This window comes from Homo sapiens, chromosome 7 (assembly GCF_000001405.40).
Source record: "Homo sapiens chromosome 7, GRCh38.p14 Primary Assembly".
NCBI classification, from domain to species: Eukaryota; Metazoa; Chordata; class Mammalia; order Primates; family Hominidae; genus Homo; species Homo sapiens.
The window spans coordinates 24,822,786-24,840,941 of record NC_000007.14 but is presented as its reverse complement, the minus strand read 5'-3'; the positions used below and the strand labels follow the sequence as shown (position 1 = coordinate 24,840,941).

The following is an 18,156-nucleotide window of genomic DNA, read 5'->3' as shown; positions in this document are numbered from 1 at the left end:
TCCTTGGCAGATTGGTATATGGACCTTTATGAAAACAGTACCCAAGAGTATTTGTACTGTGAGACTCAACATGTTTGATCATTTAGAGTAAGGGTTTTATGAAAATCTGGCTCTTGTTTATTCTAACTCTAATGAATGTTATTTCTTCTTTCCCATAGATTTCTGATGATGACTCATATGTCAGTGACATAAGTGATAATCTTTCCTTAGATAATCTCAGTAATGATTTAGATAATGAGAGACAGACCTTGGGTAAGATTTACATTATTTAATCTCTGAAAAGTTTGGATTTTCATACAATACTAATAAGTTGTATAGTTGACTCTTGAACAATATGGGGGTTCAAGGTGCTGATACCCCATGCAGATGAAAATCCATGTATAACTTTTGACTCCCCAAAGATGTAACTACTAACATTCGATTAACACATATTTTGTGTGTTATGTGTATTTGAGGCTGTAATCTTACAATAAAGTAAGCTAGAGGAAAGAAAATTTTATTAAAAAAATCATTAGAACAGAAAACATATTTACAATTCGTTAAGGGGATCATCATAAAGGTCATCATCCTGGTCATCTTCATGTTGAGTAGGCTGAGGAGGAGGAAGAAGAGAAGGGGTTGGTCTTGCTATCTCAAGGGTAGCAGAGGCAGAAGAAAACCTGCATACGAGTGGACTGATGCGGTTCAAACCTGTGTTGTTCAAGGGTGAGCTGTGTAGAGGACCCGCTACAAGCAAAGAGCTCTAGCAAGTAGTATGTAAGAAAACTAAGACATGGACCCCACCCCCTAGGATTTTATAATCTAGCACCCACATGTGAAAGATGTGTTAATTCAAATAAATTTGTCTGCTTATGCAAATTTTTATTTTTATAAAGTGAGTGTATGCCAATTATAGGAATATAAAAAATGTAACACATATCTTTTTTTTTTTTTTTTTTTTTTTTTTTTTTGTGAGATGGAGTCTCTTTCTGTCCCCAGGCTGGAGTACAATGGTGCAGTCTTAGCTCACTGCAGCCTCTGCCTCCCGGGTTAAAGCGATTCTCCTGCCTTAGCCTCTGGAGTAACTGGAGAATACAGGCACGCACCACCATGCCCAGCTAAGTTTTGTATTTTTCGGTGGAGACGAGGTTTCACCATATTACCCAGGCTGGTCTTGAACTCCTGACGTCAAGTGATCTACCTGCCTCTGCCTCCCAGAGTGCTGGGATTACAGGCGTGAGCCACCGTGCCTGGGCCAGATATCCCTTTTGCACTCTAATGTTCTCTCTCAGGACATGTTAGAATATGGCTTTTTGCCCTGAGATATCAGGGGGTTTTTATAATTTAGGAATGTGATAGGACTTACATAATAAAAGATATGATCCAGGTGGTCATTTAGCTTCAGAGTCTTCAAAACAACACATTTGAAAGTAACAAATGGCTATCTCTTGGACGGACCCATCAGGGTATCCTAAGATGACCCTTTATTACTGGTTGATCCCAAGATGGGAAATGATGGGCAGGAAAGATATTTCATAATGCTAGTTCGAACTGTGGAATATCTGGAGTGTCTGGCTAGCCCCCCAAACAGCTCTGATTTAGGACTTCAGTAAGCAGACTGGCCTGTTTAGGAAGGTGCCCTTAAAAAGAATCTGCCCACCTGAACAGTTCTCTGCATGGGTCCTCGTAGCATCAAGCACTTATCAGTCTTGGTACTCAGTCTGCCTTGGAGTCTCTAGGTTTGTCTGCACTATGCATTGGATACTCAAAGCACCACCTATTTTCATATCTTCACAAAGGAGAGGGACCATGCCAGGCACCTTTTTGATATTTCAATGTTCCTCAGCTCAGTGTGTATGTGTGAACGGATGAATTGTTATCTGAATGGTTAAGAGCCACCTTTTGGGGGACCGCAGTATAGGGGAAGAAAGCAGGTAATTTTACCATGCTTTGGAAGAGTATCCTTTCAGTATCACACCTGCTAGAAGTAAGATGCTCATCGTGGTTGGTATTTTGTTTGAAATGTTTCTTGGGAGATGAACCCCTTAGTGGAAAGGTCTAAGAACCAGTGGGTTTGAAGAAGAAGGCCAAAAACACTGGAGCAAGTTTGTGTGCTGCTTATTTTTCTAGAAAAACAAGGAGGCAAGTTGAAAGAGAAATGAAGAAACATCACTCCCTTGGCAAACAGCATGCACACTAAAGTGGTGCTCCCACTGTAGATGAGGAGGATTGACAAATGTGGAAGTCCTCCATTTCTTTGAGTCTATGGAGAGGGAGCCATAGGAAGCACAAAGTTAATGGAATGTTCAGAGGTCAAAGGTCAAGAGAGGACATGGTTCAGAACCTAAGTCCACAGCTGTGCTGTGTTGACACCAGCCAGGAAAAGCTTAGAGGTTAGAGCTGGTTCTGTCGTAGTTTACATTCATGTTGCGAGAATGCTAACTAACATTGCCCTTTTTTGTGTATGAAGACAGGGTCTCACTCTGTCGCCCAGGCTGGAGTGCAGTGGTGCGATCTCGGTTTACTGCAACCTCTGTCTCCTGGGTTCAAGCAATTCTCATGCCTCAGCCTCCCGAGTAGCTAGGATTACAGGCACGCACCATCATGCCCAGCTAATTTTTTGTATTTTAATAGAAACAGGGTTTCACCATGTTGGCCAGGCTGGTCTTGAACTCCTGGCCTCAAGTAATCTGCCCGCCTCAGCCTCCGAAATTGCTGGGATTATAGGCATGAGCCACCTTGCCTGGTCTACATTGCCTTTCTTGAACAAACACTGGGCAAAACCCAGTTTTCTTCTTTGTCAGTGTTTGAATACTAGAAATGTGTGTCCCCTAGTTCTTTACAGACATTCCCAGGGGTTGGGGGAGATTATATTTCTAAGCATCAATACTCTACTGAAAAGATTGGATACAGAAATAACCTTTACATTTCATATCATCATTTTGCCTGTGTTAGGACCAAGATCTTGCTACACTGTTATTCTTTGAGTTTATAGTAAACATGAGGTTTTTAGAGTGTTTCCTATTAATTTCTTCCCCACAGTGTTGCTGGGCACATATTAGGACCTGTCTCTATGCTGGGTACTTTGGGGAAGTTAAGTGTTTAAGAATACAGATTAAGGGACCAGACTTCCTTGGTTAGCCCCAGCTCTGCCACTCAGTGGTTGTGTGTTCTGGGACCAGATACTTACTTCCTCTATGCCTCATTTTCTTCATCTGTGAAATGGGGATAATAATACTGTTTACCACAAGTGGTAGTTACATAGGATAAGTAGGAATAATGCATGTGAAATGCTTAGAAGACTGCCTGTCACAGAATAAAATGCAAGATATGTGTTAGCTGTTAGTAGTATTGGTGGTGATGATGGCGGTGGAGTAGCATGCTTTCAAAATTCAGATTAGTGTAATCAAAGAAAATTTTTTGAGACTACATGAAAAATTGTTTTCAAAAATGACTACAGGCAAGGCACAGTGGCTCACACCTATAATCCCAACACTTTGGGAGGCTGAGGCAGGAGGATTGCTTTAGGCCAAGAGTTTGAGACCAGCCTGCGCAACATAGCAAGATCCTGTCTCTAAAAAAGATACAAAAACTAGCCAGGCGTGGTGTAGCATGTCTGTAGTCTGAGCTACTCAGGAGACTGAGGTGGAACAATTGTTTAGGCCCGGGAGTTCGAGGTTACAGTGAGCTATGATCATACCACCGCACTCCAGCCTGAGTGACCCTGTTGAGAAAGACCCTATCTCAATATTTAATTAATTAATTTTAAAACTGCCATTTGCAGCTACTTACCTATGTTGTATTTACCCATATTAAGCAACTAAAACAGGCTGGGCGTGGTGGCTCACGCCTGTAATCCCAGGACTTTGGGAGGCTGAGGTGGGTGGATCACTTGAGCTCAGGAATTTGAGATCAGCCTTGGCAACATAGTAAAATCTCATCTCTACAAAAATACAAAAAATTAGCCAGGCATGTTGGTGTGCATCTGTGGTCCCAGCTACTTGGGAGGCTGAGGCAGGAAGATTGCTTGAGCCGGTGAGGCAGAGGCTGCAGTGACTCCAGATTATGCCACTGTACTCCAGCCTGGGCAACAGACCAAGACTCTGTCTCAAAAAAAATTAATTTTAAAAAAGCAAAACAAATTCAGAAGTTAATTGGATGATTAGATTAACATGAGATGCACAGTGTGGCCCTGTTTTCATGTGTTTCTGTTCATCAGAGCAGCCCCTTTATTCAGTGATTGGCTTTATAATAAGTAAATGTTAAATATATATGTTTAATAAAATATATATCAACAAAGTATGTTTATTGATATATAAATAAAAATAATATGCAAGAGATTTCATTTGAAAACAGGCACAATGGAGGATAGGAATTTCAGAGCATGAAACGAAGGAAAAGATTGATAGATTGGCATACCTAAAATATGTTTCATTCATCAAAATACTCCATGGGCCAAATTTAAAGGTAAATACCAAGTGGGGATTGAATTGTAAAACAAATATAAAACAAGAGAGTATGGTGTTAATACATAAATAGGAAGGCAGACAATTCAGCAAAGAAGAAGTGCTCATGAAAGCACTCCAAACCACACAGGAAATCTTTTAAATGTAAGCTAGAACAAGGTGGTTACACTGTCCACCTGACAATTTGACAGAAATTAAAAATGAAAATGACAAGCCTGAAGAGGCCTCAGGAGATGGATGTTCACATCTGCTGCCGATAAATGGGGAAGTTGGGGGCAGCCTTTTTGAAAAGCAGTCTGATCATGTGAATCAGAAGTCTAACAACATTCAGAGTTGTTGACATAGTAATCCCGCTTCTTCATATCCTAAGAAAATAAAGATATAGGCAAAAAATATTTTACAGTCTTTAAAAATGATTTATTAAACTCTTAGGTTCAGGGGTACATGTGCAGGTTTGTTCTATAGGTAAATTGCATGTCACGGTGGTTGCTGTACAGATTATTTCATCACCAAGGTAATAAGCATAGCACCAAATAGGTAGGTTTTTGATCCTCACCCACTACCCACCCTCCACCCACTCTCCACATTCCAGTAGGCCCTGGTGTCTATGGTTCCCTTCTTTATGTTCATGTGAACTAACGTTTAGTACCCCTTTACAAGTGAGAACATGCATTTGGTTTTCTCTTCCTGTGTTAGTTTGCTTAGTTAACGGCCTCCAGCTCCATCTATGTTGCTGCAAAGGCTATGATCCCATTCTTTTTTATGGCTGCACAGTATTCCATGGTGTATATGTACCACATTTTCTTTATCTAGTCTACTGTTGATGGGCATTTAAATTGATTCCATGTCTTTGCTGTTGGGAATAGTGCTGTGATAAACATACACGTGCATGCGTCTTTATGGTAGAACAATATATATTCCTTTGGGTATATAGTCAGTAATGGGATTGCTGAGTTGAGTGGCAGTTCTGTTTTAAGTTCTTTGAGAAATTGCCAAACTGCTTTCCACAATGGCTGAGCTAATTACATTCCCGCCAGTAGTGTATAAGTATTCCCTTTTCTCTGCAGCCTCACCAGCATGTTATTTTTTGACTTTTTAGTAATTGCTATTCTGATTGGTATGAGATGATATCTCATTGTGGTTTTGATTTGCATTTCTCTAATGATTAGTGATATTGAGCAAAAACTGATGTTTTAGAAAAATTTTAAATAATATGGAAAAATACTCTGTTAGCTGAACAAGCAGAATATAAAATACGTATACAGTATGAACAACACAAATGGAGAAAACACGAAATGAAGATACTCTAATATATAAATGGCTGCTATTTTGGGGTGGTGGAGCAATGAAAAGACCATTATTTCCTTTATAGTTTTCCTGTAATAAACACAATTGTTTTACCAGAATTTAAAGTGATTTTTTAAAAAGTTTACAAGTTTTTATAAACAATAAGCAACTATAGGCATAGAAATCCAATTTCCAGTTTTATTCTAAGTGTGTATGAGCTATGAGGAACTAGGTTTTGAGGAGCAATTCAAGGTCTTCCCTGTGAATAAAGTCGATGGGTTTTAGTGTGTGTCATTTTTGGTATTTAATTGCTCAGAATTCTTTTGCCGGTTTTCTGACTTCAGCCATACTCTGAACAACTGAGTTTAATAGTAACATTGACTACTTGCTACGTAAGGTTTTATTCGTGGATTAAAAATAATAGAATAAAATGAAAAGCTTTATAGAGACAACCAGGCCTCTTTCCCTTTCAGGGCCTGTCCTTGATAGTGGTCGGGAAGCGAAGTCCCGGAGAAGAACGTGCCTGCCGGCGCCCTGCCCGAGCAGCAGTAACATCAGCCTGTGGAACATCCTGAGGAACAACATCGGGAAGGACCTGTCCAAGGTGGCCATGCCGGTGGAGCTGAACGAGCCCCTGAACACGCTGCAGAGGCTCTGCGAGGAGCTGGAGTACAGCGAGCTCCTGGACAAGGCCGCGCAGATTCCCAGCCCCCTGGAAAGGATGGTGAGGAGTCAGCCTTCCCTTGCCACTGTCCAGCCTCGGTCCCCAAGCCACGAGGCCATTCACGGGGCCCATCAGAGAGACAGCCCCTGTTCCCTCCGGTTTCATTTTGATTGTTCCGTAAACAGGTTCATTACTCAGAGCTGTCTGGCTTCCTCCGCCTGGCTGTTTCCAGTCACCTTGTGAGGATTTGGAGACGGGGTTGGGGTGCTTCTCCGTGGCACTTGGTGCCTGGGGTAGTTCTGTTCTGTGGGTTTGTGCTTCCTCTTTCTCCAGAAGCCTTCTGGCTGATTGTTCCGATGTGCCCGGCTGGAAAACATGTCTTTAGGGCTGTCTGCATGTTTATTTTTACTTCCCTGGGTGGACAGAATTTAATTTCTCGAGCTGTTTTTCTCATCCAGGGTAAGTTTCCCCTGAGAATGTTTGTGTTTATTTCTGGAATTGTCCCATCAGCTCCTAGGTTTTTGGAAAATAAAGTTCACAAGAGGAGGTTTTCACATCAGAAATATTCTTTTTTTCTCTCTCCCTCTTATTTTATAGAGTACTTAAAAAAAATCGTAGAAAAGCCTTCTCTTCCCTACTGGGCATCAGCTCCAGTCACAGCATGCTGGCTTTTAAAAGGGCTTCCAAGTATTTCTCATCTTTCCCCCATCTCATGGGTAGGGAGATTGGGAAGGGAGTACCCAAAGGGCAAGACTCTGGGCAGATCAGCCCTCTCTATGACTGTGACTAACTTTGTTCTTGAACGTGGGTGTCTGTACCGCTTTTTGCTTCCTTATATTCAGTGACCTTAGAGCAGTAAGGTCATTGTCTCTATGGGATGCTGGGACAGCAGTGTCCCCCAGATGCAGAGTCTCTCTCCTGGGCATTTGCCAATTGGCTACATTGGAATTGGAGTGCCCCCTCGGCTTCACAGACCTAGCCCTGCCGACACTCCCCATTGATAGAGGATGCTATTATTTTCTACATTCTAAGCATTCTGCAGTTCTAGCGCTCATTAAAACATCATTACTTCAATGATTTGAAGATTAAGGGGGAATCTTAACTGCTGTCTGAGAGGGATAGCCCATAGTCATTCTGCCCAGTCTCCAGGGCCTCCCCATCAAAGAGACTTTCTCTTTTTTTGAGTCAGGGTCTTTGTCACCCAGGCTGGAGTGCAGCGGTGCAGTCCTACCTCACTGCAACCTCGAACTCCTAGACTCAAGCAACCCTCCTGCCCTGGCCTCCCAAAATGCTGGGATTACAGGCATGAGTCACTGTACCTGGCCCAAGAGACTTTCTTTCTTGTTACTGATAATCAGGGTAGGAGACAAAAACAAGCTGTATTTTTTAAACTCTTCTTTGTTACTTGTCCCCAGATAATTTTTGCTGAATAAAAGGAAGGCAAATCTTCTAGAAATAGCTTCTAAGCAAGTGTTAAAAGTCAGCATTTGTGGACAGCTCTTTTCTTTAAAGGAAATGATTGGCTTTGAGGATGAAAGTTTCTTAAAGATGTTTCATGCTGTGGCAATTTAGAGACCCTTAGGATATTCAGCTGATTGATCAGTGTAATTGACCTTGAGCAGAGGTTTGAGGAGAGGCTTCTCATCCCCAACATAACCACTAAGCAGGAGTCTTATCTCATGGGTTTTGTTTACTGTCCTGCACGTCTGCTTATGCCCCTGCCTGGACTCTCCCTCATGCCACCAACCCACAGGGAGAGTGCTTCCTTCTGCCTCCCCTTCGCTCTGTCTTCCCCACAACATCATGAATGGCACTAGGTTCTTTCATCGGTTGTGTTCTATTTTACATGGTGAAGGTGATTAAGGGTTGATTCAGCATTCCATACACAGTGTGGCTGTACTGTTTCACAGGTCACCAATGTGGAGAAGCAGGAAGAGGAACAGACACCCAGGTTTCAAGAACACAGGCAGTCACAAGTAGGACTGACTTGAGTGCAGTTGATTTTTTCTTCTTCTTTTTTTTTTTTTTTTTTCTTTGAGGCAGAGTCTCTCTCTGTCGCCCAGGCTGGAGTGCAGTGGCACAATCTCGGCTCACTGCAACCTCCACCTCCCAGATTCAAGTGATTCTCCTACTTCAGCCTCCTGAGTAGCTGGGATTACAGGCGTGCGCCACCACACCCGGCTAATTTTTGTATTTTTAGTAGAGATGGGGTTTCACCATGTTGATCAGGCTGGTCTCGAACTCCTGACCTCGTGATCTGCCCACCTCGGCCTCCCAAAGTGCTGAGATTACAGGTGTGAGCTACCGTGCCTGGCCCTTCTTTTTTTTTTTTTTTTTTTGAGACAGGGTCTTGCTCTGTCACCCAGGCTGGAATGCAGTGGTGCAATCACGGCTCATTGCAGCCTCGACCTCCTGGGCTCAATCAGTCCTCCCACTTCTGCCTCCCAAGCAGCTGGGACCACAAGCATGTGCCACCACACCCAGCTATGTCTTTTGTATTTTTTTTGTAGAGAAGAGGTTTCGCCATGTTGTCCAGGCTGGTCTTGAACTCTTGGGCTCAAGCAGATCCACCTGCCTCGGTCTCCCAAAGTGCTGGGATTACAGGCGTGAGCCACTGCACCCAGCCGAGTATAGCTGATTTTTATAAGCCATCCAGCTGCTCTAGAGAATTCTATAGCATGAGGTGGTGAGGTGGTCCCTATTACAGGCAACATCAAAAATTTAGCAGAAGGTTATGTGACTAGTGGGCATTTATGAAAGGCACTCAGCTCTTCTTCAGTATAAGAAACTGCACGAAATGTGCTGGGAAGAAGAAATCTTGAGATTGTTACTACCTGACATTAGAAAGGAAAATTGGACATCCCTGCTTAGGCTTAACTGTTGTTACATACATGGAAGAAAAGACAAAGAAGGTAATGTGCCTCCCTGATGCCCTGACGGGGAATTGCTAAAGACGCCAAGACCTCACAGTAAGGGCTGCCCAGAGAGTTTGTTCACTTCGTGTTCACGTAAAGTTTTTCTTCCTTCCTCTCTTTATTTTAATTTTTTTTTTGGATGTTTCACTTTTCCTCCCAAAAAAGCAGAACTTTAAAGTCACTATATCCTGTGGCTTGTTTCCCAGGCTTAGGAAATGACTCACAGATTTTCTTTGGTCAAAATGAATGTTTTGGTTTCTATAATACCACATTTTGAATGGTTAAATTTATGATGCTGATTCCTGAGTTTTGGAGGGATTTTTTAACACTCCTTTTTTAATACTCTTTCCCCACTCCACCCCTGAAGGCTTAGCACCATATTAGGATCCTCAGATACTGTCAGGCTTAAAAGTACTGGACTCAGCTTAACAGTTTCCAGAAACAGTGTAGTCCAGTTTAGAAATGTCATCGTCTTTATAGCATCTCCCAACTTTTAGGCATCAAGATAAATGGACAGCTTTAAAACATTGGGTTAATTTGTTTTGGGGCCCAGATAAACATTATTTAAACCTACAATTTTAAACCTATGTTGTTTAAAAACAACCAAAGACAAATCTTTGGCTTTCTGAAAGAAAATCATAGAGGTTTTATTTTGTTTAGTTCTTTGTGAACAATAAAGCTCTTGGTGACACGGAAATGACAAAGTTCTTTTCTCTTGTCCTTAGGTATATGTGGCAGCCTTTGCCATATCAGCGTATGCATCTAGCTACTACCGAGCTGGAAGCAAGCCATTTAATCCGGTTCTTGGAGAAACATATGAATGTATTCGGGAGGACAAGGGCTTCCAGTTTTTTTCAGAACAGGTAGATGTACACCATTTTTTGCTTGTTGGGAGGGGTTGCTTATGTCTCCCATTAAATGTGCTTCTGAAATATTTATCTTCCACCTTTCACTGGCTTCAAAGCAGCCGAGATAATTACAGTGCTTTTCAACATAAAGGGAGGGATCGATTTCCCTTCCACTGAAGCCAAGCCACCACCCAGGGGCATAAAGTTACCACCCGTAATTCTGCACACTTGCTTGGCTACATGCATTGCCGGTGTCCTTTCTCTTTAAAATCATTAGCACAAGGAATTTTGAAAGGATGAATGTTGGCCCAAACTTCAATTTAGAGGTTTAACATTGCTCCCTAACACACTGACATCATTATTCCAGAGCATGAATGCCCCCAGCAGAGTGGGTAGCGCCAGATAAATGCGTTATTCTCAATTTTGATTTGAGAGGAATCATTCATTCATGTATTTATTCATTCACATCAATAAATTATTTCTAGAACGTATACCATGTGCCTGCCACTGTTCCAGGTGCTAGGATATTGCAGTGGGGTGGGGGGTGAGGGGTCCGGACAGGAGTCCCTGCCCTCATCTGATGGATGCACAACCTTGTACTCATGCAGCCTAAGGTTCCATCACACTCTTGCCATAGAAGTAGCATAGAGTAATACTCAGGCTTCAGACAGCCCAGGATCCGTCCTACCTCAGTTCTACCTCTTACTAGCATGATAACCCAAGGCAAGTTACATAGCTTCTCTGTGCTTTAGTTTGCTCTTGAGAGTGGAGAGGATGACAGTTATATGTACCTCACGTGGTTTTGTGATGATTCAATGAGGCACTGTCTGCAAAGCACTTGGAGCAGCATCTGAGACATGAAGATACATGTTATATGAGTGTTTGCTGTCATTATTGATGCATGCCAGCAGAGTTTATAATGGTGGAGTGTTGGGAACATCTAAAATGCTTGTCAACAGGGGATTATTTACCTAAAATAGAGTGTATACATATTGAAATTTTAAAAAAAACCTCTAAGATATGCAGAAAGAAATTTTATTAAAATTATAACAAATTTAAAAAATAAAATACACCCTCTCCCACCTTGTTAAGGTAGCAATCAAACACGTCCACTCTCTGTATATCCCTAAATCCCTAGGGACATTAGACATCATTGCTTCTGTACATTTCTCACCCCCTAGTTCTTAGAGAACTGAGGAGAAGGGGGGTGGATTGCTAAAATATTCTTTTATCTTGCTGCTCTCTTTATCAATGGATTTGCACTACAGGGAGAGGAGGGGAAGCGTGGGTTGGCTGAGAGACTTATGATGATAGTGCTTATCTTAACTGTAAATGATAAGGAGTGTTCTCTGGAACTCAAAGGAAAGTGAATATACAGTAACCCAAAGCACACTGTCAGTAGCTTGCCAGTTAGAAGCTAAAACAAGAAATTAAACATGGACTAACACTGGGGAAGTAGGGAGTTAAATCAGTAGTTAAAGGGGATAAGATAATCTGTGTGATTCAGAATTCATCTGGGTTATTTAAATACTGAACCTAAAATAGAATGAGAATAAATGAAAATATAATTTGGTTTCCATGGTATCATATGCACTCTTGTGAAAAAATAAAGGCCAAAAATAGCCTCAAACTACAGCAGACAATCAGGACAGGATGAATAGCTATAAGAAAAGAATAGTAACATGAGCTGTGTAAAGTTGAGCTTCAGTCCTCTGAGCCCTGGTGGGACAGGGCCAAATTCAAGATCTGTTTGTGTATTTCCCATGGTGGCACAGTGGGGGAGAAATCAGAGCTCCTGGGCACATGTGCACAAAGACAGAAAGAGGGTTACATAACTCAGCATTTAGTTCCATGAAATAAGCAAGAAAGAGAACTGGTTATTGTTAGTAGTTTAGAATGTGCTGGGTGTAGGATGTACAGACCTGCCTGCTTCAAATCTTAACTCCACAATTTGCTCCATGTGTGACCTTATGTAAGTTCCTTCAACTTTCTGAGCCTTCCTTTTTAAAAAAAAAAAAATCTGTAAATTAGGAATGATAATGTTTGACTAATAGGTTGTAGTAAGGCTTAAACAAAATAATACACTGATGGAAATATTCAGTAAATGGCTATTGCTCTTATATTTAGTGGGAACTTCTACGATGCCTTTTTTTTTTTTTTCTTTTTTTTTTTTTTTCAGACAGAGTCTCACTTTGTCGCCCAGGCTGGAGGGCAGTGGCACAATCTCGGCTTACTGCAACCTCTGCCTCCCAGTTCAAGTGATCCTCGCACCTCAGCCTCCCGAGTAGCTGGGACTACAGGCTTGTGCCACCATGCCCAGCTAAGTTTTGTATTTTTAATAGAGATGGCATTTCACCATATTGGCCGGGCTGGTCGCAAACTGACCTCATGGGATCCGCCCGCCTTGGCCTCCCAAAGTGCTGGGATTACAGGCATGAACCACCACGCCTGGCCTACAATGCCTTTTAATATAAAGTGTTAAGAATAGTAAGAGTTTGGAAGGCTGAGGTAGGTGAATCACTTGAGGTCAGGAGTTCGAGACAAGCCTGGCTAACATGGTGAAACCCCATCTCTACTAAGAATACAAAAAATTAGCCAGGTGTGGTGTCACATGCCTATAATCCCAGTTACTCAGGAGGCTGAGGCAGGAGAATCACTTGAACCTGGGAGGTGGAGGATGCGGTGAGCCGAGATCGCACCACTGCACTCCAGCCTGGGCAACAGAGCAAGACTCCATTTCAAAAAAAAAGGGAAAAGAATAGTAAGAGGAGTGTTGACAAGGCAGAGAGGAGGCTGAGGAATGACTTGATGAAAGAAAACTAGAAAGGCATATATCTATAATATATACTTTCTTATGTTCAAATAAGATATGCTATATCTCCACTTCTAGTACAAGTAGTTTGAAGGGGACTTGATGTCGCTGGTGAGTCTCTGACAGAAAATGGCTGTCAGGCAGCCAGGAGTTCTCACAGCTGGCTTCACCATGGTCATACCACCAGTCCTGATCATCATGGAGCTGCTTCATCTGTCTGGAATTTAGCCTGATGGCTGCAGATAGTTGGTTATTTTAATATACCTAAGAATGGATGAGTCTCTCAGGGATAAATTCACACTAAGCTTACAAGAGACTGATGTATATAAACTAGAATGCTACTAAATGCATTTACTGTGAAAAATAGACCTGCTATGGGGATCAGAAAGCATTGTCCAGTGTGACTAGGTATGATTTTCCCATAGGCAGATTACTTGGGAAGCCAATGAGAATCCTAAGTGAGCATACAGTGTGAAGATGCAGCTATGTGATTCAGTACACCAGGCAGTCCTCTGCCCTAGAAGTGGGAAGGGTGTAGGGCCAGGGCCTCCCTTTCCCTGGCCAGCAGGAGCCTATCAGCTCAGTACCCCTCTTTCCCTCTCCCAATGCTGTCTATTCTAATTTAACACATCTGAAGAGAGTGCCAGAGCATTTATTCTGTTTCCTGCTGGTACCTGGTATGGCTCTTTCTGCCTCCAGCCCAGGAGACAGTCTACCTTGATGGAGACAGCATGACTCCGCCCTTGTCCATTATGTGTCATTGATAAGCTCTCATGGCTTAGAGGTTTGTTTTCTTGTGCCTCTCTACAATGAGTACAGGTTTCTGGATGACTAGTATAATAAACTGGGCAAGCCCCCCGAATTAATATTTTTGGGTGGAATTTTTTTCTAAGGAGGATAATGATGGAAATTGTATCTCCAAGCTTAAGGACCTGGCAAGAAACAGCTTGGCTTTTCTTCTGAGTTTTCTAGACAACAGTCTGAGTTGGAAAGTGATGGCTGCCTCTCTTCCAAGCCCCTTGATTTTGTTGTCTTGTGGATTTGCTGGGCATGTGGATGTTCGAGGTGGTGAGCAGCCAGGCAAGTGGAAGTCATTGCTGCTTGAGAGTTCGACTCTGTCGAAGCTTGCCTCTCTGTATTGTTTCTCGTCTAAAAGACCCAAAACCACAACATCAAAATGATTCATGTGGTCAGAAATCAGAGAAAGCATTTCTTGTTAAAAATTTTTCTTAGAACAAGTATTAGATTTGTAGAGTGCTCCGTGCATTCATGATCTTACTTGATCTCCAAAACGGCGCTCTGTGGAAGGTGAGGCAGGGATCAGTTACAGGCGAGAAAACCAAGGCCTAGAGGATTTGAGCTTCCCGGTGCCCCTCAGCAAATGCTAGAACCCAGCCCCTCTGTTTCCATCCCTGCCTCCTTTTCCCCTTACTCTCTGTGGGGTCTCTTGTGTGGACTCAGTGACTATGCTCAGAGCTACTGGAGTACAGTATACACAAAGCAGCCCTTTGTGTATGCTGTTCGTTCTCACCATGCAAAATCTCTCCAGACTCACATAGGACTTTGTTCTCCACTCCTGTGGTAGGCAGGGGTGTGGCCTTTGTGAAAGAGGACCGATCAGGAGTGAGTCATAGACATTCCTGTCCTAGGTTCTGACCCTCTGGCTCTTCCACCTTCTCAGAGGTTTCCTTTGTGCCAAAAAATCGGTTTCAACCTTGGCTTTCTACATAAACTCACAAAAGGAAGAATTCAGAGAGGAAGGACTTCCCTTCTTTCCTTACTGTTCAGGGACTAAGTATCCTCTGGCAGGTGATTCCCTGCTTGCTGCGTCCTCCTGCTGCCTGGCAGAGCTAACACACTGGTTTTGAGCTGCATCAAGGGAATAGATGGGTCAGAAAACTTATTTCAGTTGGCTATGTTCCTTTTTTCATACCTTTGGGAAAGGTTTGGTGTTGAAAGGATATGCAATTAAGCTACAGTCTAAAAGTAGCTTTTCCTAATTACATGAAACTTTAGTTGTCCAGATCATTGTTCATTTTAACCATTTACCCACCCACCTGCATACCCTTGACAGTGTCAGAAAAGCTGAGTGCAGTTATTAAAAGTTACTAAAATGTAAGAGATTGAAATGAAGATCTTTTCTTTTGCTCTACAGGCTCAGCCTTTCTTCCTTTTCTGTTATTTATTGGAGGACTCTGAGTCCATACATTCTTGGACAGGCTTATACTTGCCACACCCATCACTTCCTCCTTGCACACTCATGTCACCTCTGCATAGTCCTTGTATCTACTAGTTAGCAGAGTTATTTATTACTGATTAAATAAGTAAAGATACTGTCAAAGGGTAAATTCTTAAAGACACTCAAAGGGTAAATTCAAGCCGTTCAAATAAAACCAGCAATAAATCAAATATGAGACAACTAAACCATTGCTTTGTGGTTTTCTCCATTTCTAGGTCAAGTCAGCACTTAATGTGTTTTTGTTTTTTAATTTTTTGCAAGAGGCCATGTGTTTATGAGATAAGTGATTCACTCTGAACATGGGAGAAGGGAAAATAATTGGCATCTGCATTCTCCCCAAAATCAGGCCAGAATTCTTGGCATCATCCTTAATAGCTCTTTCTCTCATCATTCACATCCTCTCATCAGCAAATCCTGGGGTCTCCCTTCAGAAGCCTTCCTTCTACAGCCAGCCATTTTCACTTTCTCTCCCATGTGATGCTGGTCACCTAGCTCAGGCCACTAAAATCAATGACTGGGATTATTGCAGTAGGACTCACTACTGGTCTCCTGTTTCCAGAGCCAGTTAATTCCTTATCCAGCAGCCCCAGTGACTGCTTAAAACAGAAGCAGCAGCTGCTCTAAATCCTCCACCAACTTCCCAAGTCACTTGGAATAAAATCCAAAGTCCTGGCCATGGTCCACAACGCCCTCGAAAATCTCACCCTCAGACACTTCTCCTACTTACCCCACCTCCTCATTTAGCTCTGCCAGACTGGCCTTGCTTCTTCTGCTTCATACCAAGCATTTTCCAGCCATTGGCCTTTGCTGTGTCCCCTGCCTGGGACGTGCTTCTCTCAGATATCTGCATGGTTAACTTCCGAACTTCTCTCAGCCCCACAGGTTTCCATTATTAGAGTCCTGCCCCACCACCCTGTCTGACCAGCACTCCTACTCACTGTCCCCACATCCTCATGCCCTGCTTTATTTTCCTTAACACAATTTCTACTGACAAATTATGTGCTTCTTATGTGTCGTTTGTCTTACCCACTTCCATACTAAAATATAAATTCCATCAGGGTAAGAATTTTTACCCTTGGTGACTAGGACGGTGCCTGACACATCACAGGCAATCAATAAGTACTTGATGAGTGACCTGGAAAGAATGGCCACTTGGTCCCCTCTCTGGATGACTTCTTCACCTGGCACTTGCCCTCTTTTTCGTTATTGCCCTGTATTGCTGCAGGGAAATCAGGACCTAGGAGGACTGGATAGTTATGCCTTGGAGCAGTTGCAGGGGAGAACTGATGTACTGAAGGGCTACTTTTCTAAATCTGAAAAATAAAAACTTACAAAGTACAAAAATACTGAAAATACCTCCTTTTCCTATCTGCTTCTCCCCTGACCTCTTATATAAAGTGCATTCAAAGCATAAATTAAAAATGATTAGGTCAAGGTAAAGAAAGGCCTCAGATATATAAATAAATTATAAATTACCAGAATTCTTAACTGCCAGGGGAACTGTATTGGGGCTTGTAGAAAGAAAGATAGATACATGTGTTACCATATAAATACTTGCGTAATAAAAACCATGTGTACTAATTTCTTGAATGCTTGGGCATCCTTACCAATCAAGAATTGCTCTTCTTTGATTGGAGAGGACGTGATAGGGAAGAATGCTTAAAAAAAAAGTCTAAATTGGGTTTATTCAACAGGCTAACAGACAGCATCTCCTTCCAGGGCTGGGTCAATTCAGACAAATGCATTTACTGCCCTTTTTGCCTGAATTAAAATGTAAGGAGAATACAGACTCAACCAAAATCCTGCAATAACAAAGACAGGTTAGATTCTGCTCATTATTCTCTACTCTAATAGATTTTAGAAAGATTGCCATCAACAAAGATTAAGTGATTAACTGTGAATTACCTTTTTCCATGGGCATTGAAGTTAATCAAAGCCTTTGTATAATTTTTTCAAGTTGGCCAGCATCCGCCACCACCTTTGATGCTAAGATTCGAAGAAGACATTAACAGCAGATGTTAGAATCAGAGCATTTTGAAGCCAAGAGGGATCCTCACACCTCATTTTACAAAGAAATATGCGAGACTGAGGTTGGAAAGGTCAAATTCAAAAGTTTTTTTTCTCTAAATGTCCATGAGAAGGAACCTTAATGATGTGTCCTGGCTTTGGGGAGGGACACGAGCCCTGGATCTGGAAGAGGATGACATAGGTTTGGAGTGCTACCTTTATCACTCATTAATGTTGTGGCATTGGGGAAGCTCTTTGCTGGCCAGAACCCCTATTTCCTAATTTATAAAATCAGGCTCACCAAGATACAAGGCTGCCCTAAGAACTAAGTGAAAATACACTCATTTTAGAAATCTATATTTTGATTTTTTAAATGAGTGTATTTTCACTTAGTCTCTTTTAAATGAGTATATTTTCACTTAGTCTCTGCCTAATCCACATCAGTGTATGATCCTGGACAGTTTGTATGTGTTCTTTTTTTAGTTGGCCGAGTCAGTGGAATCAGCCTTATTTCACAGATGAGGTGACAGAGGCTGAAGGGACTGAAAAGCTGTGAAGGTCATACAGCCAGCAGATGATGTTGCAGTCAGGGCCCAGGTCCATGGAACAACAAAAACCTTTCCCTCGTTCCCGGACACTAGTGCAGCACATGGCAGATGCTCCAGAAATAGGAGGAAATATACAAAATAATAAGCTATCAATGTAAATCTCCCCAGAAAGCTTTGTAAAACTCTTAAAAGCAATGTGGGCCAAATAAACCATTCCCAAAGGCCTGTGTAAGCCATAAAGAAATAAGCAAAGTTACTGATATTTGAAGGTTGAGACTTATTCAGAAAATGTGTTGAACCCATCTAAACATAATCTGCTAAACATTCATTCATTATCTAACACAATAGTTTAAAAAAATCAAGGTTGGGTTTTTATGAGATGTGTGTATAC

General features: G+C 42.1%; 1 protein-coding gene across 43 annotated transcripts in view, besides 3 other annotated features; it reads left to right on the top strand.

Moving 5' to 3' along the window:
• The window catches only part of OSBPL3 (oxysterol binding protein like 3), a 185,309-nt gene that overhangs the window by 140,904 nt on the left and 26,249 nt on the right, over positions 1-18,156 (top strand). For 23 of the 43 annotated variants that reach the window (XM_047420146.1, XM_047420134.1, XM_047420148.1 and 20 more), the window contains 3 exons: positions 159-252; positions 6,206-6,456; positions 10,037-10,174. In XM_047420146.1, the coding sequence (XP_047276102.1) occupies positions 159-252; positions 6,206-6,456; positions 10,037-10,174 (483 nt within the window). Of the gene's footprint in view, positions 1-158; positions 253-6,205; positions 6,856-8,306; positions 8,374-10,036; positions 10,175-18,156 lie in introns of those variants that run through there. The other 20 variants (XM_047420131.1, XM_047420139.1, XM_047420142.1 and 17 more) reach the window with 5 other exon arrangements.
• Positions 6,358-6,467: an enhancer, noted in NCBI's record as "active region_25757". NCBI's record gives its function as "activates an Ori minimal core promoter by ATAC-STARR-seq in GM12878 lymphoblastoid cells {active_cell/tissue: GM12878}" and the evidence as "EXISTENCE:reporter gene assay evidence [ECO:0000049][PMID:35858748]".
• Positions 13,691-14,890: an enhancer, noted in NCBI's record as "CDK7 strongly-dependent group 2 enhancer chr7:24865671-24866870 (GRCh37/hg19 assembly coordinates)". NCBI's record gives its function as "activates an origin of replication core promoter dependent on BRD2, BRD4, P300/CBP, MED14 and CDK7 cofactors, with strong dependence on CDK7, by STARR-seq in HCT116 cells {active_cell/tissue: HCT116}" and the evidence as "EXISTENCE:reporter gene assay evidence [ECO:0000049][PMID:35650434]".
• Positions 14,299-14,804: an enhancer, noted in NCBI's record as "NANOG-H3K27ac hESC enhancer chr7:24865757-24866262 (GRCh37/hg19 assembly coordinates)". NCBI's record gives its function as "activates a minimal SCP1, AML or CMV promoter by ChIP-STARR-seq in primed H9 embryonic stem cells {active_cell/tissue: H9 hESC(primed)}" and the evidence as "EXISTENCE:reporter gene assay evidence [ECO:0000049][PMID:30033119]".